Genomic DNA, 23391 nt, shown 5'->3' with positions numbered 1-23391 from the left:
TTTCTTGTAAGATGGGTCTTGTGGCAGTGAATTGTCTCAGCTTTTGTTTTTATTGTCTGAGAAAGACTTCCTTTCATAGCTGAAGAATAGCTTCACTGAAAACAGGAAAGCTATTCTTTATTTTTTACTTTATTCTTTAAAAAGGTATTTACTTTATAATACTTTTTTATTTATTCTTTATTTTTTACTTTATTCTTTACCGTACCCAGTAAAGAATGGAAGGTTTTTTTTTCTTTGAGTGCTTTAAAAATGTCCTCCTACTGCCTCTTGACCTGTACGGTTTGCACTGAGAACTTTGTTGCCAGACAAATAGGAGCTTCTTTATATATGATTTGCTTCTTTCCTCTTGCTACTTTTAGAAACCTCTCTTTGTACTTGACCTTTGAGTGTTTGGTTATTATATTCCTTGTGGTAGTCTTATTTGAGTTAAATTTGTGTAATATTCTCTAACCTTCCTGTACCTAAATATTTATATATTTTTCAAATTTTGGAGATTATTCTGTTATTACTTCTTTGAATAAACTTTCTACCCCCTTTTCTTACTCAACTTCCTCTTAAATACCGATACTTCTTAGATTTGGTCTTTTGAGGTAACTTTGTATATCTTGTAGGGAATCTTCATTCTTTTTCATTCTTTTTTCCTTTTTCTCCTTTGACTGTATTTTCAAAGAGCCTGTCTTTGAGCTCACTAATTCTTTCCTGTGCTTGATCCATTCTGCTGTTGAGAGCCTCTAATAAGTTTTTCAGTTCAGCAAATATATTTCTCAGTTCCAAGATTTCTGTTTGGCTTATTTTTATTTCAACCTCTTTGTTAAATTTATCTGATAAGTTTCTTAATTGCTTTTCTCCGTTATCTTGGAGATCACTGAGTTTCCTTAAAGCTGCTATTTTGGGAGCATTTGCTGGCAAGATGGCCGAATAGGAACAGCTGTGGTCTGCAGCTCCCAGTGAGATTGATGCAGAAGGCGGGTGATTTCTGCATTTCCAACTGAGGTACCCGGTTCATCTCATTGGGACTGGTTGAACTGTGGATACAGCTCATGGAGGGCTTGCCAAAACAGGGTGGGGCATCGCCTCACCCAGGAAGCACAAGGAAAGCTGTGAGGGACTGAGCCTGAGGAACCGTGCCATCTGGCCCAGAAAGAAAAAGAAACGTGCTTTTCCCACGTTCTTTGTAACCCGCAGACCAGGAGATTCCCTCCAGTGCCTACCCCACCAGCGACCTGGGTTTCAAGCACAAAACTGGGCAGCTGTTTGGGTGGACACTGAACTAGCTGCAGGAGGTTTTTTTTTGTTTGTTTGTTTTGTTTTTTCCCATACTCCAGTGGCGCCTGGAACACCAGTGAGACAGAACCATTCACTCCCCTGGAAAGGGGTGCTGAAGCCAGGGAGCCAAGTGGTCTGGCTTGGCAGGTCCCAACCTCACAGAGCCCAGCAAACTAAGATCTACTGGCTTGAAATTCTTGCTGCCAGCAAAGCAGCAGTCTGAGATCCACCGACTGGGGACTCTGGAGCTTGGTGGAGGGAGGGACATCTGCCATTGCTGAGGCTTGAGTAGGCGGTTTTACCCTCACAGTGTAAACAAAGCCACCAGGAAGTTTGAACTGGGTGGAGCTCACTGCAGCTCAGTAAGGCCGCTGTGGCTAGACTGCCAGATTTCTCCTCTCTGGGCAGGGCATCTCTGAAAAAAAGGTAGCAGCCACAGTCAGGAACATATAGATAAAACCCCCATCTCCCTGGGACAGAGCACCTGGGGGAAGGGGCAGCTGTGGGCACAGCTTCAGCAGACTTAATCCCTTGCCTGATCGCTCTGAAGAGAGCAGCGGACCTCCTAGCACAGCATTTGAGCTCTGCTAAGGGTCAGACTGCCTTATCAAGTGGGTCCCTGACCCCCGTGTATCCTGGTTGGGAGACACTCCTAGTAGGGGCCGAAAGACACCTCATGCAGGAGAGCTCTGGCTGGTATCTGGCAGGTGCCCCTCTGGGACAAAGCTACCAGAGGAAAGAACAGGCAGCAATCTTTGGTGTTCTGCAGCCTCTGCTGGTGATACTCAGGCAAACAGGGTCTGGAGTGGACCTCCAGAAAACTCCAGCAGACCTGCAGCAGAGGGGCCTTACTGTTAGAAGGAAAACTAACAAACAGAAAGGAAGAGCACGTCCACTCAAAGACCCCACTGAAGGTCACCATCATTAAAGACCAAAGGTAGATAAATCCACAAAGATGGGGAGAAACCAGTGCAAAAGGCTGAAAATTTCAAAAACCAGAATGCCGCTTCTCCTGCAAAGGATCACAACTCCTGGCCAGCAAGGGAACAAAACTGGACGGAGAACGAGTTTGATGAATTGACAGAAGTAGGCTTCAGAAGGTGGGTAATAACAAACTCCTCTGAGCTAAAGGGGCATGTTCTAACCCAATGCAAGGGGGCTAATAACCTTGAAGAAAGGTTAGATGAATTGCTTGCTAGAATAACCAGTTTAGAGAAGAACATAAATGACCTGATGGAGCTGAAAAACATAGCGCAAGAACTTCGTGAAGCATACGCAAGTATCAATAGCCAAATCAATCAAGCAGAAGAACGATATCAGAGATTGAAGATCAACTTAATGAAATAAAATGAGAAGACAAGATTAGAGAAAAAAGAATAAAAAGGAACAAAAAAAAAAGCCTCCAAGAAATATAGGACTATGTGAAAAGATCAAATCTATGTTTGATTGGTGTACCTGAAAGTGACGGGGAGAATGGAACCAAGTTGGAAAACACGCTTCAGGATATTATCCAAGAGAACTTCCCCAACCTAGCAAGGCAGGCCAACATTCAAATTCAGAAAATAAAGAGAACATCACAAAGATACTCCTCAAAAAGAGCAACCCCAACAGACATAATTGTCAGATTCACCAAGGTTGAAATGAAGCAAAAATGTTAAGGGCAGCCAGAGAGAAATGTCAGGTTACCCACAAAGGGAAGCCCATCAGACTATAAGTGGCTCTCTCAGCAGAAACTCTACAAGCCAGAAGAGAGTAGGGGCCAATATTCAACATTCATAACCCAGAATTTCATATCCAGCCAAAGTAAGCTTCATAAGCAAAGGAGAAATAAAATCCTTTAAAGACAAGAAAATGCTGAGAGATTTTGTCATCACCAGGCCTGCCTTATAGGAGCTCCTGAAGGAAGCACTAAACATGGAAAGAAACAACCAGTACCAGCCACTGCAAAAATATACCAAATTGTAAAGATCATCAACACTATGAAGAAACTGCATCAACTAACGGGCAAAATAACCAGCTAGCATCATAATGGCATGATCAAGTTCACACATAACAATATTAACCTTAAATGTAAATGGGCTAAATGCCCCAATTAAAAGACACAGACTGGCAAATTGGATAAAGCATCAAGACCCATCAGTGTGCTGTATTCCGTAGTCCCATCTTACGTGCAAAGGAACACATAGGCTCAAAATAAAGGGATGGAGGAAGATCTACCAAGCAAATGGAAAGCAAAAAAAAAGCAGGAGCTGCAATCCTAGACTATGATAAAACAGACTTCAAACCAACAAAGATCAAGAGACAAAGAAAGGCATTACATAATGGTAAAGGGATCAATTCAACAAGAAGAGCTAACTATCCTAAATATATATGAACCCAATACAAAAGCATCCGGATTCATAACGCAAGTTCTTAGAGACCTACAAAGAGACTTAGACTCCCACACAATAATAGTGGAGACTTTAACACCCCACTGTCAATATTAGACAGATCAACGAGACAGATAATTAACAAGGATATCCAGGATTTGAACTCAGCTCTGGACCAAGTGGAACTAATAGACATCTACAGAACTCTCCACCCCAAATCAACAGAATATACATTCTTCTCAGCACCTCATCATACTTATACTAAAATGGACCACATAATTTGAAGTAAAACACTCCTCAGCAAATGCAAAAGAACGGATATCATAACAAACAGTCTCTCAGACTACAGTACAATCAAATTAAACCTCAGGATTAAGAAACTCACTCAAAACCACACAACTGCATGGAAACTGAACAACCTGCTCCTGAATGACTACTGGGTACATAACAAAATGAAGGCAGAAATAAAGATGTTCTTTGAAACCAATGATAACAAAGACACAATGTACCAGAATCTCTGGGACACATTTAAAGCAGGGTGTACAGGAAAATTTATAGCACTAAATGCCCACAAGAGAAAGCAGGAAAGATCTACAATCAACACCCTAACATCAAAATTAAAAGAACTAGAGAAGCAACAGAAAACAAATTCAAAAGCTAGCAGAAGGCAGGAAATAACTGAGATCAGAGAAGAACTGAAGGAGATAGAGACAGAAAAAACAGAGTAGAACTGAAGGAAATAGAGACACAAAAAACCCTTCAAAAAATTAATGAATGCAGGAGCTGGTTTTTTGAAAAGATCGACAAAATTGATAGACTGCTAGCAAGACTAATAAAGAAGAAAAGAGAGAAGAATCAAATAGACGCAATAAAAAATGACAAAGGGGATATCACCACCGATCCCACAGAAATACAAACTACCATCAGAGAATACTATAAACAACTCTACGCAAATAAACTAGAAAATCTAGAAGAAATGGATAAATTCCTCGACACATACACCCTCCCAAGACTAAACCAGGAAGAAGTTGAATCTCTGAATAGACCAATAACAGGCTCTGAAATTGAGGCAATAATTAATAGCTTACCAACCAAAAAAAGTCCAGGACCAGATGGATTCACAGCTGAATTCTACCAGAGGTACAAGGAGGAGGTGGTACCATTCCTTCTGAAACTATTCCAAACAATAGAAAAAGAGGGAATCCTCCCTAACTCATTTTATGAGGCCAGCATCATCCTAATACCAAAGCCTGGCAGAGACAGAACAAAAAAAGAGAATTTTAGACCAATATCCTTGATGAACACTGATGCAAAAATCCTCAATAAAATACTGGCAAACCGATAAAAGCTTAATACTGGCACATCAAAAAGCTTATCCACCTTGATCAAGTGGGCTTCATCCCTGGGAGGCAAGGCTGGTTCAACATATGAAAATCAGTAAACGTAATCCAGCATATAAACAGAACCAAAGACAAAAAACACATGATTATCTCAATAGATGCAGAAAAGGCCTTTAACAAAATTCAACAACTCTTCATGCTAAAAACTCTCAATAAATTAGGTATTGATGGGACGTATCTCAAAATAATAAGAGCTATCTATGACAAACCCACAGCCAATATCATACTGAATGGACAAAAACTGGAAGCATTCCTTTTGAAAACTGGCACAAGACACGGATGCCCTCTCTCACCACTCCTATTCAACATGGTGTTGGAAGTTCTGGCCAGGGCAATCAGGCAGGAGAAGCAAATAAAGGGCATTCAGTTAGGAAAAGAGGAAGTCAAATTGTCCCTGTTTGCAGATGACATGATTGTATATCTAGAAAACCCCATAATCTCAGCCCAAAATCTCCTTAAGCTGATAAGCAACTTAAGCAAAGTCTCAGGATACAAAATCAATGTGCAAAAATCACAAGCATTCTTATACACCAATAACAGACAAACAGAGAGCCAAATCATGAGTGACCTCCCATTCACAATTGCTTCAAAGAGAATAAAATACCTAGGAATCCAACTTACAAAGGATGTGAAGGACCTCTTCAAGGAGAACTAGAAACCACTGCTCAATGAAATAAAAGAGGATACAAACAAATGGAAGAACATTCCATGCTCATGGGTAGGAAGAATCAATATCATGAAAATGGCCACACTGCCCAAGGTAATTTATACATTCAATGCCATCCCCATCAAGCTACCAATGACTTTCTTCACAGAATTGGAAAAAAACTACTTTAAAGTTCATATGGAACCAAAAAAGAGCCCTCATTGCCAAGTCAATCCTAAGCCAAAAGAACAAAGCTGGAGGCATCACGCTACCTGACTTCAAACCATACTACAAGGCTACAGTAACCAAAACAGCATGGTACTGGTACCAAAACAGAGATATAGACCAATGGAACAGAACAGAGCCCTCAGAAATAATGCCGCATATCTACAACTATCTGATCTTTGACAAACCTGACAAAAACAAGAAATGGGGAAAGGATTCCCTATTTAACAAATGGTGCTGGGAAAACTGGCTAGCCATATGCAGAAAGCTGAAACTGGATCCCTTCCTTACACCTTATACAAAAATTAATTCAAGATGGATTAAAGACTTACATGTTAGACCTAAAACCATAAAAACCCTAGAAGAAAACCTAGGTAATACCATTCAGGACATAGGCATGGGCAAGGACTTCATGTCTAAAACACCAAAAGCAATGGCAACAAAAGCCAAAGTTGACAAATGGGATCTAATTAAACTAAAGAGCTTCTGCACAGCAAAAGAAACTACCATCAGAGTGAACAGGCAACCTACAGAATGGGAGAAAATTTTTGCAACCTACTCATCTGACAAAGGGCTAATATCCAGAATCTACAATGAACTCAAACAAATTTACAAGAAAAAAACAAACAACCCCATCAAAAAGTGGGTGAAGGATATGAACAGACACTTCGCAAAAGGAGACATTTATGCAGCCAAAAGACACATGAAAAAATGCTGATCATCACTGGCCATCAGAGAAATGCAAATCAAAACCACAGTGAGATACCATCTCACACCAGTTAGAATGGCGATCATTAAAAAGTCAGGAAACAACAGGTGCTGAAGAGGATGTGGAGAAATAGGATCACTTTTACACTGTTGGTAGGACTGTAAACTAGTTCAACCCTTGTGGAAGTCAGTGTGGCGATTCCTCAGGGATCTAGAACTGGGAATACCATTTGACCCAGCCATCCTATTATATAATCCTTTGGCTTATTATTATTTATAAGCCAAAGGATTATAAATCATGCTGCTATAAAGACACATGCACACGTATGTTTATTGTGGCACTATTCACAATAGCAAAGACTTGGAACCAACCCAAATGTCCAACAATGGTAGACTGGATTCAGAAAATGTGGCACATATATACCATGGAATGCTATGCAGCTATAAAAAAGGATGAGTTCATGTCCTTTATAGGGACATGGATGAGGCTGGAAACCATCATTCTCAGTAAGCTATTGCAAGGACAAAAAAACCAAACACCGCATATTCTCACTCATAGGTGGGAATTGAACAATGAGAACACTTGGACACAGGAAGGGGAACATCACACGCCAGGGACTGTTGTGGGGTGGGGGGAGGGGGGAGGGATAGCATTAGGAGATATACCTAATGTTAAATGATGAGTTAATGGGTGCAGGACACCAACATGGCACATGTATACATATGTAACAATCCTACACGTTGTGCATATGTACCCTAAAACTTAAAGTATAACAATAATAAAATTAAAAAAAGGAAATAAAATAAAATAAAATAATCATCTGTACACACAAAAAAAAACCCACAATGAGATACCATCTCACACCAGTTAGAATGGCGATCATTAAAACATCAGGAAACAACAGATGCTGGAGAGGATGTGGAGAAATGGGAATGCTTTTACACTGTTGGTGGGAGTCTAAATTAGTTCAACCATTGCAGAATACAGTGTGGCGATTCCTCAAGCATCTAGAACTAGAAATACCATTTGACAGAGCAATCCCATTACTGGGTATATACCCAAAATATTATAAATCATTCTACTATAAAGACACAGGCACACATATGTTTATAGTGGCACTATTCACAGTAGCAAAGACTTGGAACCCGTCCAAATATCCATCAATGACAGACTGGATAAAGAAAATGTGGTGCATGTACACCATAGAATACTATGGAGCCATAAAAAAGAATGAGTTCATGTCCTTTGCAGGGACATGGATGAAGCTGGAAACCATCATTCTCAACAAACTAACAGAGGAACAGAAAACCAAATACTGCATGTTCTCACTCATAAGTGGGCTGTGAAAAATGAGAACACATGGAGACAAAAGGGGAACATCACACACCGGGGCCTGCTGTGGCGTGCAAGGCTAGGGGAGGGATAGCATTAGGAGAAATACCTAATGTAGGTGACGGGTTGATGGGTGCAGCAAACCACCATTGCATGTGCATACCCCTGTAACAAAAGTGCACATTCTGCACATGTACCCAAGACTTTAAAGTATAATAAAAACAAAACAAAAACAAAAACAAAAAACACTGCTATTTTGAATTCTTAGAGAGTTCACATACTGCTGTCTCAGATTCAGAGGATTGTTTCTTGCTTTGTCCATTTGGGGAGTCATGGTTCTCTGCTTGTTGTTTCTTGTGGATGTATATCTATATCTTTGCACTGAAGGATTATTTATTCCAGTCTTCTCTGTCTGGCTTGTATTGATTTTTATTTGATATGTTTGCTTTTAATTTACCCGTTGATTATTTTTCTTTTTCTCCTTTTTCCACTAGGTTACTGCCTCCTTTTGATCACTAGATGGCTCCTTAAGTCCAGGTTTGCCCAGTTCTAGTAAACAATCGCAGCCTGTCTGGAATGGAGAAGATACCAAGGAGAACATCCCAGTAGTATGAAAAGGCTGGCTAGGGGTTCGTGCCGTGGGGACCAGTGTAACAAACCACCTACAGTGCGGTGCTGCTGAACAGCCACTCTGATTTGGCATCTCCTTTGGCCAAGTGACAGAGCAGAGTTTTCAGGCCGGGAATAATACTCCCACCACCCCGCTTTGTCTCTTGCTCTCAGAGATATTTCTCCCTTCAGGCATTCCTGATGCGCTCATGAGTGGAGGTAGAAACAGGTCTCCTGCCAGGGAAACCAAGATGGTGCAGAAGCTAGTTGTTCGCCTTGATCTTACTTTTCCCAGTGTAGAAATTGTGAGTCAGAGGACAGTTTTCCACGTGCTTGGTGCCAGGCAGATTGGCATCAGGGATGTGGAGATCTGTTTCTCTTATCATCGCCTTCAAGTTTGTTCACTTCTCTGTGGCCCTGGAACTGCCTCCTCCTCATATTTGAGTTCTGGGATATTGCTGGTGACAATCTTAGAACTGTGTTTGTTTTTGGTTTTCTGTGAGGTTAAGTGAAGCCAGCTTGCTTCTTCACTGTCAATTAGGAACCACTTCAGACAATTATAGATTAAGCAGACTGTGTTGATGATTTAACTGCTCCAACTTCCATTATCCATTCTTCCTATGTTTTGCTCTGTATTGCAGGTAACTGTACCATGCCAACTCTCCACTTCCTTGCCTTTTTCTTCTGGTTCCTTTCTACCAATGTGAGGAACTGGCTAGATTGAAGTGTGGGACGAAGGAAGAAGCTAGGTTTTTTTCCCTTCCTTCCTTTCCACTTCAGGTAGCAACTCTGGCGATAACCACATAGTCTCTGTATTTCCAACTTTCATCAGATAGCTACTCCCTCTGTGGTCCTAACTCCTGGTGGACAGCCTCTTACAAGGAGGCATTGGCTTTGGGCTCTGTCAACCTTACCTCCTCCCTTGGGCCTCCTGCCATTGCTATATTCAGGCTGCCTCACTATCTCTTATAGATCTTCTCTTTGTACATCCATTATTAAACTATCTGATGTGGGCTTTGCCTTCTTGATTGATCTTGACTGACAATAGTAAATAATGGGTCATATAGGGTCCCAAATCCTGCTCAAACCATAACACAAAATTTTAATATAATTAAAGTTTTATATAATGATTAGACAGCATAGGATTCAGATTAATACATAAAGATTTTGATATACCTATGAAAAGAATGAGACAACCCCTATTGGGTCTCAATGATTATGTACATGTGAGGTTTTGGAAGTGTTTGAGAGGATAGGAAGAAGAAAATGGTAAAAAGACATATACAAATAAGTAGAACTTACCTAGAATGGGTCCAAACAAGTTGCTATAATGGCTCAGAGGAAGATGACAACATTTTAGCTTCAGGTATTGGGATGGTAAACACAGAGCAGGCAGTTTTCAATAAGGCCTTGATGGATGACTAAATCTTGAAAATTTAAAGATGAGGATAATGATATTCTGGAAATAAGAAAGAGCAGGCGCAAAATTTCAGTAGTGAAAAGAGGAGAAATTTACTTTTTATATTGAAATGTCTAGTTTGACTGGAATACCAGAAGAAAAAGCTAGAATAGGCTGGGTCTGAATAATTGAAGGGTTTAGGTAATATTTTAAAAGTCCTAGTTTCTATTTTTCACATACCCATGGCTTGTAACTAATATAGAAGTACACTTCAGTTTATGTGCAACAATATGATAACAGGGATTTTGTTTTGTTTACTGCCCAATCTGTAGTGACTTGCAATGTGCTGCTTGGCATAATATGTGCCCAATAAGTATTTGTTATATAAATTAATGGGGCATAGTCTTTGTATCATAGTTCACAATAACTATAAAACTAATCACTCATTTATATAAAAATCAGGCACCTACTAAGTGAAGGGCATTTTTAAAATGTCTCCTCCAAATATTTAACAGAACAAAGTGCTGCATTAGAAAATCATTCTAACAACATTATCACAATAACTACCAACACCTCTCAAAATGTGAGCTTTGAAGCACATGAATCTGTGAGACCTTGAATATTATTTAGCACAACTCCTTTCCAGCAGAATCTGGGCTTGGGCTCCACAGGATTCAACACCTATTTATCCCTTAAATGTTGCTGCTAAAATGTGGCCCTTCACAGAGGTTAATGGATCTTCAAACTGGAACGTCTTTCCAAACTTTCACAGCTGCTCTGAGTAAATACACCAGATTCCCAAATGCCAGGCTTGTGTGACAGAGCTCTGGCACCAGCTGAGTTTGCCATTCATTATGCCATTGTCTCACAACACACCCGGAAAACAAAGCCCTATAGATGGCTGGTCATTATCTTGGTTTGGGATAGCACAAGGGCCCAGAGGGCAGTGCTTGGAAGAAATCCACTTGTGTGTAGGGACTTTTAATTGAAATCTCAAACACACTCCGGAGCTCTGGAATGCTACTTCTTGGAGCTATTGCTATTCCCTCTCACCAGGCACATTTTGGCTCTAACTTTTGTAAGGATAGGAAGCTGTTCCATAAATGCTGTAGCCTGGCGAATGCGGCTACAGTGAGACACTAACAAATCCTGCTTTTAGGTGAACTGTTTCTAACCATGGATGCTTGCCCTGGGCTATCCATTTCAATTAGTGAGATTTAGTTTTGTCTTCTTTAATTTCTAACTTGGCCTGTTTTTAATGAGCAGCTAAAAATTCTATAACAATGAAGATGAAGAATGACTTACATTCTTTATTTGTAGTAGGAATGTCCATGTATCAACTGTTATTTTGAACAAGTTTGTTTTTTTTTTTTTTTGGTTTCTTGTTGTTTTGAACAGAAGTTTTCATCATGAGGGAATCTGATTTATAAATGGCCCTTGACATTCTATAGAGAGGGGAAAGGTTACATTGATAATTATATCTGTGAAGAAAGGGGAAAGAAAAGTTTGGATGATGGCTTGTTTACATGACTATCTCTGGAGTTCTGTACTATAGCACTGAGGAGATATTTTCACTTCTTACTCCCATCTAAGACCAAAGGATTTTATTTGCCAATGGCGATGTATGGCTTGGCAAATGTAGAGCTACTCAGAAGACGTTATACTGAACATAGATCCTAGTGGATTGAGACTACACCAATCTGCGAAGATTCTGGAAATCCAGGGCACAAGAATGCTACTGAAACCATGATCATGGCCTCAAAGCCCCTTTCACTACCAGTTATCACACATGATCATAACGATCCTAACACTTTGATCACCTGAGATATGTCTAAGGAAAACTTTTACAGGTTCTACATAATCCCAATATCTACTTCTGTTAAACTCGTTCCATAAAATGTAGGAGATAAATAAGGTCCTGTAAATTATTGCTGTGCAATATAATCAACACTAGTAGGTACAACGGGTAGAATATGCCTAGTTATCAACCTGAGCCTTCTCCAAACACAGGCAAAATTTGATTTATAAACAAAAGAAATGATTTCTATTTTGTCAAACTTTAAAATCTTCAAATCCATAGCAACATTGTGTGTGTGATTATCTAACACTTTGGTAAATTGTTTCAGTGTATGTAACTTTTCAAAGTACTTTAGTATTAGGTAAACTGACATGATATAAAAATATTGGGAAGAACTTACAGCAATATTAAAAAGCTTCCTGTTGCAATTATATTCAGAAATAAATACAGCTTAATTCTGATTTAAAATCTACTGCTGATTCCCTTTTTATATCTTCATCCTTTATCTTCCCTACCCCATCATGTTATCAATATTGCATTTATTATTTTTGTTTTTCGATGACTTTATTTCTTGGTAAAAAATTATGCTTGCTTGTCATTTTTGAAAAATTAAAGCAAAACAGAAAAATACAAGAAAGTTTTAAAAAATCCCACTACAGGCCGGGCGCGGTGGCTCACGCCTGTAATCCCAGCACTTTGGGAGGCCGAGGCTGGTGGATCACGAAGTCGGGTGATCAAGACCATCTTGGCTAACACTGTGAAACCCCGTCTCTACTAAACATAGAAAAAAAATTAGCTGGGCGTGGTGGCGGACGCCTGTAGTCCCAGCAACTGGGGAGGCTGAGGCAGGAGAATGGCGTGAACCCGGGAGGCGGAGCTTGCAGTGAGCCAAGATCACGCCACTGCACTTCAGCCCAGGCTACAGAGCGAGACTCCATCTCAAAAAAAAAAAAAAAAAAAAACCCACTGCAGAAAAAAACCCATTATTAATATTAAAGCAGGCATTATTCTCCATATTTTTCTCTTCATGTGGCAAAAAGAAATAAACATTAACTTATTATTTCTAAAATAATTACACATGTCCAAGTCTGGGTTCCCAGGAAGCAGATGTTAAGATGGAGTTTAGGGTGCAAGATAATTATAAGGAATCAACACACGACAAGAGAAAGGCGAGAAAGCAGTGTTGTGCAGAAAGAGAAGTCAAACTGTAGTACTGGCCCAGAAAATGCCTGAACCAACCCAGCAGAGAGCCCTGGGACATGTAATGTCTTTGGAGGGTCCTATATGGGTCCTTCAGACTCCTACTTTTTCATGGAATGCAGACTGTCCACAGAAAGGGTGTGACTCAGGCAAGGTGTCTTCATGCAGCTGACTTCCTTTTTCTCAGCTGGGCAGCAAGTTCTTCCTTGGGGAGGAACTGGACAGTATATCACCATGCCCACCATGGGTGGTGGTGAAGTCTGTGTCAGGCTTTATTGGCAGAAACATAGCTGAGAAACCCATTCCTCTAGTGGTGTTATCAAATCCAGGAATTAAAAACATCTACCAGAAGTAGCTTATGTAACATCCAGCAAAGTAAATTTAGACTTTCTTTCACATCTTTCCTCTAGTAAAACATTTGCTTTGATAACTTGATTACCTTGTGGTTTTAGAACACTAATCTTTGTTACTATGGCATATGGAAAATATTTAATCATCTACTAATTCCTTTTGTAAGCATTATTTGTACTACATGAAAGCATAGATTCAAACTTGGAAAAGGCCTGAGAGCTCATCTTGTTGAATTCCTGTACTTGATATCTGCAAATAATGGCTCATAGAGGTAAAGTAACTCCTCCAAATTTACCTGGTGGCAGAACCAGAGCAAAACTTGTCCTTTAATTCCTAATACATTACGTTGGCACAGAAGTAATTGTAGTCTTTGCCATTATTAATAAAAGTAATGGCAAGAAGAGCAATTATTTTGGCACCAACCTAATAATTGCTGTTTTATAAAATATGAAGTGTTATTTTTAAAAAAACTCCTTTAAAAGGGGGGAAATGATGAAAATATACCTCTGTATCATAATATCATAAAAATTTGCCTGCTAAATATATGACATTTCAGAGTTTATCATGATAGCTTTCGTTATAAGTACTGATTTGAATAGGCGATTAACAGAGAAACAAACCATCTTAGATGTGTTCTTAGATGAAAGAGATGAGATGAGCAGTCTGTGTGTTCAAAGAAATTTGGCAACATTTAAACCCTATAGAAGCTCAGAGTTTTCACAAATGATATTTCATATTCATTTCAAAGTATCATTGTTGAGCATTTTTAGGGAATTAGGATAAATTTGTTTTTATTTTTTATTTCCATAGCTTTAGGGGAACAAGTGGTTTTTGGTTACATAGATGAATCGTAAAATGATGACATCAGAGATTTTAGTGCACCCATCACTCAAGTAGTGGAAATTGTAGCCAATATATAGCTTTTTTAAAAATCTTTCACTCCCTTCTCACCTTCCCCACTTCTGAGTCTTCAATATCCATTATGCCACTCTGTATGCCTTTGCATACCCATAGCTTAGTTCCCCCTTGTAAGTGAGAACATATGGTGTTTGGTTTTTGATTACTGTGTTACTTTACTTTAGTTAGAATAATGCAAATGATTACTTATTCCTTATTAATGTCCTCTTCTTTTTGATATTGAAGTGTTTCCTTTAGTATTTCTTGTAGAACAAGTCTGCTGTTGATAAAATCCCACAGCTTTGTGTGTGTGTGTGTGTGGTCTGGGAAAGTATTTCTCCTTCATGCTTGAAGAATATTTTCACTGTATGTACTCTTCTAGGGTAAAAGCTTTTTCTCCAGCACTTTAAATATGCCATACCACTCTCTCCTGGCCTGTAAGGTTTCCACTGAAAAGTCTGTTGTCAGATATATTGGCATTCCATTGTATGTTGTTTGCTTCTTTTCTGTTGCTACTTTTAGGATTCTTTATTTACCCTCGATCTTTGGGAGTTTGATTATTAAATGCCTTAAAGTTGACTTCTTTGGTCTAAATCTGTTTGGTGTTCTATAGCCTTTTTATACTTATACTTGGATATTGATATCTTCCTTTAGGTTTGGGAACTTCTCTGTCATTATCTCTTTGAATAAACTTTCTGCCCCTATATCTTTCTCTACTGCCTCTATAAGGCAAATTACTCTTAGATTTGAACTTTTCAGGCTATTTTCTAGATCCTGTAGATGTACTTCATTGTTTTTTATTCTTTTTGGTTTCGTCTCCTCTGACTGTGTATTTTCAAACAGCCTGTCTTCATGCTCACCAATTCTTTCTTCTGCTTGATCAATTCTGCTAATTAAGACTGATGTGTTCTTCAGTATGCCAATTGCATTTCAGCTCCAGAATTTCTGCTTGATTCTTTTTAATTATTTCAATCTTTTTGTTAAATTTATCAGCTAGAATTCTGAATTCCTTCTCTGTGTTCTTTTTAATTTCTCTGAATTTCCTCAACACATTATTTTGAATTCTCTGTCTGATAGGTCACGTCACTGTTTCTCCAAGTCATATATCTGTCCTCTTGAATTTCTCTGAATTTCCTCAACACAACTATTTTGAATTCTCAGTCTGAAAGGTCACATATCTGTTTCTCCAGGATTGGTCCTTGGTGACTTACTTTGTTCATTTGGTGATGTCATGTTTTCCTGGATGGTACTGATGCTAGTAGATGCTTGATATTGTTAGGCTCTGTGTTCCCACGCAAACCTCATCTTGAATTGTAGTTCTCATAATCCTCATGTGTCATGGGAAAGACCTTGTGGGAGGCAATTGAGTCATGGGGGCAGTTACCCCCATGCAGTTCTCGTGATAGTGAGTGAGTTTCTCATGAGATTTGATGGTTTTATAAGGGGCTTTTCCTGCTTTGCTTGGCAGTTCTCTCTCCTGCTGCCATGTGAAGAAGGATGTCTTTGCTTCCCCTTCCACCATGATCATAAGTTTCTAGAGGCCTCCCCAGCCACGCAGAACTGTGAATCAATTAAACCTCTTTCATTTGTAAATTACTCAGTCTCAGCTATTTCTTCATAGCAGCATGAAAAAGAACTAATACAATGTTCTTTGGTGTCTGGGTATCGAAGAGTTAGGTATTTATTGTAGTCTTTGTAGTTTGGGCTTGCTTGTACCCATCCTTCTTGGGAAGACTTTCCAGATAATCAGAAGGACTTGAGCATTGTGATCCTAGCTGTGTCTGCTTTAGGGGAAACCTTATGCCCAGTAACACTATAGTGTTAGCCAAGTGAAAGACCAAGTCTTTCAGACTTGTAGAGGTACTGCCTTGATGGTCTTGGACAAGATCTAGAAGAATTCTTTGTATTACCAGGCAGAAACTCTTATTTTACTTCTTTACTTTCTCCCAAACAGAGTCTGCCTCTGTTATGAGCCCCCTGAAGCTAGGGATGGAGCGACAGAAGCACCCCCATGGCCACCAACACTGTGACTGCATTGTGTCAGACCTGAAGGCAGCACAACACTGGGTCTCATCCAAGGCCTGCTGTAATGACTCCCTGGCTACTGCCTGTGTTTGTTCAAGGCCTGGGGCTCTACAATCAGCAGACAGCAAAGCCAGCCAGGCCTATGTCCTTCCCTTCAGGGTGATGAGCTCCCCCAGGCCCCAAGTGGGTCCTAAGGTGCTATCTGGGAATCAGGGCCTAGAGTCAAAAACCTTAGAAGTCTGTCTGGTGTTCTGTTGTACTGTGGCTGGCACTTAATCCACAAGATTCAGTTTTTCTTACTCTTTCCTCCCCTTTCCAAAGGCAGACGAGGTTCACCCCATTGCCACTGTCACTACAGGCCCATGGGGAATACTGCCAGACTACTGCCAATGTTTTCTTAAGGCCTAAGTGCTCTTTAGTCAGCTTGTGGTGAATGCTGCCTGGCCTGTATCTCACCCTTCAGTGCAGTGGGCTCCTCTGCCGGCAGGTCCAGAAATGCCATCCAACAGTCAAGTCCTGGAATTGGGGAACCCAGGAGCACACTCAGCGCCCTACTCCCCTGTGGCTGAGCTGGCACCTAAGGTACAAGACAGTCCCTTTCACTTTTCCCTATGTTGCTTTCAAGCAGAAGGAGTCTAACCCCATAGCCACCACATCTGGGAGTGTGCTGAGTCTTACCTGAAGCCAGCAAGTCTTAGAGTCTCACCCAAGATCCTTGATATAATACCTGGGTATTGCTATTGGTTATTCAGGGGCCAAGGGCTCTTCAGTTAGCAGGTAATGAATCCTGCCAGGACTTGGTCCTTCCCTTTAAGGTAGCTGACTCCCTTCTGGCTCAGGGTGTGTCTAGAAATGTTTTCTAGGAGGCAGGGCCTGGAACAGGGGCCTTACAATTCTGACCAATGTCCTATCCTGCTGTGGCTGAGCTGGTATCCAATATGAAATACAAAATTGTATTAGTTTTCACACTGCTGATAAAGACATACCCAAGACTGGGCAATTTACAAAATAAAAAGGTTTAATTGGACTTACAGTTCCACATGGCTGGGGAAGCCTCACAACCCTGGCAGAAGGCAGGGAAGAGCAAGTCACATCTTACATGGATGGTGGCAGGCAAAGCGAACTTATGCAGGGGAACTCCTCTTTTTAAAACCATCAGATCTCATCAGACTCATTCACTATCACAAGAACTATCACAGGAAAGACCCACCCCCAAAATTCAATCACCTCTCACTGGGTTCTTCCAATGACATGTGGGAATTGTGGGAGTTATAATTCAAGATGAGATTTGGGTGGGGACACAGCCAAACTATATCAAAAGTCCTCTTTCCTCATCCCTCTCCTCTCCTCAATGGAAAGGAAAGAGTCTCTTTTGGAGCCATGAGCTGGACAGCGTTGTTAGGGGAGGAGTGATGCCAGCACTCCCTTACCGACCCCAACTGGTGTCTTTGTGGGTCACGTAGCCAGCAGTCCACTGTCTCTGGGCCCAGTTCGGCACTAAGACTCGCCTAAGAGTCCTTCAGACTACACTACATTTCAAGTTTATTTAGAGCCCCACAGCCCTTTAGTCCATGGTGGTGAGTTTTGTGGGAACTCAAGTTCTGACAGCTGGGATTCGCAATTCACTTCTGGCTAGGGCTGATTTAAATGCTCCCTCCATAGGGAATGTCAGCTGAGTTTGGTCTGGTTTTACTTTCTGCTATAACAGGACAGCACTGAGTTCATTGCCTCTCAAATTTTGGCATTGCCTCCTTTCTCTCTCCCCAGCACACAAAATCACTCTCCACACTACACCACTGCTGCCAGGGGATGGAGGATGGGTGGCATCAGTGATTCAAGACTGTTTGTTCTACCTCTTCAGTGTCTCTTCAAGTAATACAAAGTTAAAACCAGGTACTCTGAGTGCTTATCTGATTTTTGGTTCTTATGAAGGTACTTTTTTTGTGTAAATAGTTGTTAAGTTGGTGTCTCATTGGGGGAACAAACAGTGGAGTTTCTATTCAGCCATCTTGCTCCATTATCCATCTTTTGAGCTTTTAAATAAGAATTCTATAGATAGATATGTGAAAGAAATATTACGAAAAGCCAAGTCTTAATACTCATGTATTATGTCTTTTCATTTACAAAGTTGGGGGAAAAACCATAAAGAATATGTATATGATCTCTGAGATACACTGGTCTCAGCTTTAGGGTGGAGAGGTTATACAAACTTGACACCAAGCACTGAGTATTAGCAGAGACATAAGTTCCAATTTGTCTATCACCTTCTTTAAATAACACTGTCCCTTTAGATTTCTTGAACAACACGAACAATCTGAGACTAGTGTATCTCCATGCATCTTAGTGGGTTCTATGAATGCAGCATTCCCACAGCTGAGTTAAATACATTCCCCCCATAGCTCAGATTTTATATGAATATATTTCAGAATCTTCTCAGTATCTGCTCCCCATCACCATGACAACCAAGGGTATTTTCAGAGAAGTCAGCCAGTCACTAACATCTTCTCAGCTAATTTTGAGAGATGGGATTTCAGAATCTGTGAGAGCTGACACTAACTTGTAAGTACCAACACCTTCATGCCAATGTATAGTTAGTCAAGATTTTGGTTCCATGTATTAAAAACCCAACTCAGACTGGGCGCTGTGGCTCACACCTGTAATTCCTGCACTTTGGGAGGCCGAGGCAGGTGGATCACAAGGTCAGGAGATCGAGACCATCCTGGCCAACATGGTGAAACCCTGTCTCTACTAAAAATACAAAAATTAGCTGGGCGTGGTGGCATGTGCCTGTAATCCCAGCTACTGGGGGGATTGAGGCACGAGAATTGCTTGAATCCAGGAGGTGGAAGTTGCAGTGAGCTGAGATGGCACCACTGCAATCCAGCCTGTTAACAGAGTGAGACTCCATCTCAAAAACAAAAACAAAACAACTCAAGCCAGTTTAAGGCAAAGAAAGTAAATTTGTTGGTTCATGTGGCTGGAGAATCTAAGATATGAGGATGGCTTTAGTGGATCCTTTAAAGATGTCTCCATAAAACTACTCCCTTTCCTCCATCTTTCAGTTTTGCTTTTCTCCATAATGACCTCAATCTCATATAGGCCTTTAGCATCCCCAAAATATCCACTGGCAACTTTATACTTGCATATACTTACAGCTAGCAATCCAAGAGAATGGAGTGACACTTCTTCAAAACAAACTCTGGCACAAGTCCCAGGGTAATCTCCAATTGGCCTAGTCTGTGTCATGTGCCCCACAAACCTGGAGTTTTGGGTATGGTCAACACTGCCCACACAAACTGGACAAAGAATGAGAGAAGAATAATTCCAATAAGAGACATTGAGCATCAATAAAAAGTTTATAAGACAACCATATAGGTTAGGTTGTCTCTTACGAATGGTATGGCATCAAAACTAGAATTATGCAAAGTCTACATATCAATCAGAGGAAGGAAAAAGCATTTTAAGCCAAAAAAAGTGCAGGTTGAATGACAGAGGTTTGATCATTACATAATCCAGAATAATCTAATCACAGAATCCTAATATTATTGTAAGGGGTTTCACTCTATATATCCCCTGTAGCCACATGATTATTTATTGGGATTATACCATACTTTAATTTTCATTAGTCAGATTATGTTCTATTGAAACTTTAAGGAACCCACCAAAAACTTGCTGAAACAAAGGAGGGAATTTATTAGCTCATGTAACAGAAAAGTTAGGGCTAGGTTTCAGGCAGAACTAGGTGTAGGGGTCAAACATTGTCATTGGATCTTGTTTCTGTCTCTCCATATTTCAGCTCTACTTTGTCTATATTGACTTCAAAGAGTGCTGGTGCAGAAGCTTGTGATTCTTTGACTGTCACAAATTGAGCAATGCACCATTTTTAAACCAATCACTAGATCAGAGTGATATGGCACTTTGGCCAGCCTCAAGTTACAATCTCATCCTGGGAGCCAGGAATGGAGATCAATTTTGTTCAAACCACATTGACAGGGGTCAGAGATTGTACAAGGGAAAGTTAGGATGCAGTACCAAAAAAGGCAAAAGGAAGATATCCCGTATATAAATATCTTCTTCACATTTTGCAAATATATGCGATGTAGCATCCTGGAAATGACAGGAGAGGATGAGATCAAGGGTGTTGATAGAAAGATTTTGTAAGATGTGAGTAACTCTTCAACCACATAAAAACAGGAATCACTAAAGAAAACCAAAAACAGTGAAGTTACAACTTCTTGGTCACAATAACAACAACAACTAAAAGCTTTCAGCAAAATTTACACTAGAATCTTTGATTCCTGTAGCTCTCTCACTGAAATTTATTTACATCCTTGATTTTCTATTTCTTTCCATTTGTCTACAAATTCAGCTACTGCAGGTTTGTTCTCATGCCGTGGCTTCAGGCTTTGGTGTCCTCTCAGTCTTTCAAATCTTAATCTACTGGATCTTGTGATTCATCTTTATCTCTAGGAATCCTTTCATCCACACCTGTCTCTTTGCCTGAACTCCTTTGACATTTCAACCCTTCAACTCTACAAGTATTCTTAGGACTCCCTATCATCTCTCTCTTGTCTCCATCTACCTATGGGCAGTGGGAATCATTCTTCCTGGAACCCACATATTCTTCTCTTAAAAGTCAGAAAAGACTCAAAGTTTTGGTATTTTGGCATGTCACCCTTAGAAAAGAAGAAAGACACTTTTTTTGTCATGCACACAATGTACAGAGATGCAATGATATAGAGAATATTGAGGTAGCGAGAAGTTGGAAGCACTAATGTTATAAAGCCATCATCTTCACAGATACATAGGAGTAGGAAACAGATGCTTAGAGACATAAGGAACAGTTTGCAGAAACAGCTGTGGAGAATGAACTAGATCATCTTTCAAATAAATGAATAGATTGCTGAGCTATTGTGAGATCCCAGTTGAGGTCACATGACATGAAAGTATGTTACAGAAGGAATACATTGCATTTTTCTTCTCTTAGCCTTTGATAATATTTTAACTATTTGTTTGTTAGGCTTGTGAATAAATTCCATTAATTTTAACAAAAGTAGAATGGCACAAATACTTGCCGTCTGGGTTAGGAAAATCATCAATGAGTTAATAATAAATTGAGTCTAAAAATAAGTTTGTGATCTTCAAACATTTTTGATCACAAAGTTGTGTAGATAAAATAAAGATCTTTAACAAAGCTTTTTAAAAGAACCTGTAAGGTTATAATATTTACCTGTGGTCCTTCCTTCTTTATGTTCATAAGAACCACTTGAGGATTTTTTGTTGTTGTTGTTTGTTTGTTTGTTTTAAATGCAGAGTGGCAAAATTCAGCCCTAGAGATTCACTCAGGAAGTCAGTGTTGCAGGTATCAACTGTACATTATTCAAAGCACCCTAGGATTCTGTGATAGTTGATCCTTAGAAATACCAGCCTATACAAAGGGACAGGGGTGCAGTACCTGTCACTCTGTACAGTCCCTATGCTGGAATTGACCTTTTGTGTCATTTTTTCCAATTTTATCCTAATGTTGAAAGGTCAAATTTGCTCTTTTTTTTTTCATTTCACTGTGAAGCATTGCATATTTACTCATCTTGTAGGAGTGGAATATGGTCTGCAATAATTAGCAAAGTAGCCCGAATGGCAAACTGTATTAACAAAGGAATCAAAAGATGACAATGAGCAAAGCTAAAAGCCACAGGCATCACATTTTAATGGTCGGATGACACCAGGCCTCTGCTAACTGATTACATTTTCTAGTTATAGGATAGTAAGGAAATCCATCTTGAAAGATTGCCCAATTCCCACACAAGAATTTTCTAGAAGTGATAAGGTAATAGTAGAGGTAATGGCACATTTTTCATACAAGAGCTTATTATGATATACGTGACTCTTATAAAGCTGGGGATTCTGAGCTATAATTTAACAATGTAAGAAGGGGAAAAGCTGCAACTGTGATGAAACATTTGTTATGGACTAAGGATAATAGCTCAACTCACCTGTCTAATGTCTTGTTGAAAGAAATGTAGCCTGGATCAAAGTAACTTTTGATATTTTAGTTTGTGGAGCACAGAACAATCAGTAGAAAGCTGTACATTCTTCCTGCAGTGAGAAAGTAGTGGAATTTCAATTTCAAGTAGGAGGAAAGGAAAAGATATAATCTGGCTCATTTTTAAGGGGATGGACAATATTCATTCTACATAGTTTCTCAGCATGTGGATACTGGAGGGGTCCTCTTTGATATATCTAAAATCCAAAGTGAAGATAGGAAGTACAGGTGAGTACAAAGATGGGATGGGGTCACGTTAGGCAACAGAGGTAAGGTTGGGATGGAGTCAAGGTGGAAATAATGGAATTACATAATAGGCTGTTCCTCCCTTTCTCTCCTCATTCAAACAATTAAAACCCAATAGGAATTTCCTTTTCATTCAACTATTTATTTAACAGTTTTTAGTGAACTCCTATTATGTGCTGAGATTCATTAAGCTCTTATCCAAGAGAACTCATCCTTCCCTTTGCATTTTACAAATCAGAAAACTAAAATGCAGACAACAAAAATAGGACAAAATTTAATTTACTCTTAATACAATAAAGAGGGGAGCTGGAAAGGGAAAGAAGAAATTATCTTAATATGAAACATATATGACTTAAAGAACTATAAGGTTTATGGAGTGCTAAATACTTGAATAAATGTGAAGACATCATAAACGGAAAGGCAAAGACTGAATGATATAAAGATATCTGTTTTTTTCAAGATAATTATATAAGGTAATACAAATCCATTTAATATTCCAAGGATTTATATTTCTAGAAGTTGTTAAATGTTTTATAAAGTTCACGTGGAAAATAGGTGGGGAGGACATAGCTAAAAAATGAAGAAAGAAAGAACTAACCATCATGGTATCTAAGTTCAACAGACAGTAGAGTACATTAAAAACCAAAATAAGTGAAACAGAATAATGCTGATATGAGAAGAGAAAGTCTAAAGCAGCAGTCCCAACCTTTTTGGCACCAGAGACCACTTTCGTGGAAGACAATTTTTCCACGAAATAGGGAGCGGGGAATGGTTACATGATGATTACATTTATTGTGCACTTTATTTCTATTATTATTACATTGTGATATCTAATGAAATAAATTATACAATTCACCATAATGTAGAATCAGTGGA

The 23391-nt window shown here is 39.6% G+C and overlaps 1 long non-coding RNA gene across 1 annotated transcript; it reads right to left on the bottom strand.

The window, feature by feature from the left end:
• Positions 1 to 9870: 9870 nt before the first annotated feature.
• On the bottom strand, positions 9871 to 22300 carry LOC107984487 (uncharacterized). Its single transcript, XR_001749145.1, has 3 exons — positions 22220 to 22300; positions 19380 to 19522; positions 9871 to 10015 (listed from the first exon to the last, which is right to left on the bottom strand). It is a non-coding gene; the product is annotated as an uncharacterized LOC107984487 (long non-coding RNA).
• Between the last annotated feature and the right edge of the window lie 1091 nt (positions 22301 to 23391).

Source organism: Homo sapiens, chromosome 12 (assembly GCF_000001405.40).
Source record: "Homo sapiens chromosome 12, GRCh38.p14 Primary Assembly".
NCBI classification, from domain to species: domain Eukaryota; kingdom Metazoa; phylum Chordata; class Mammalia; order Primates; family Hominidae; genus Homo; species Homo sapiens.
This window is presented reverse-complemented; position numbering and strand designations above follow the sequence as displayed.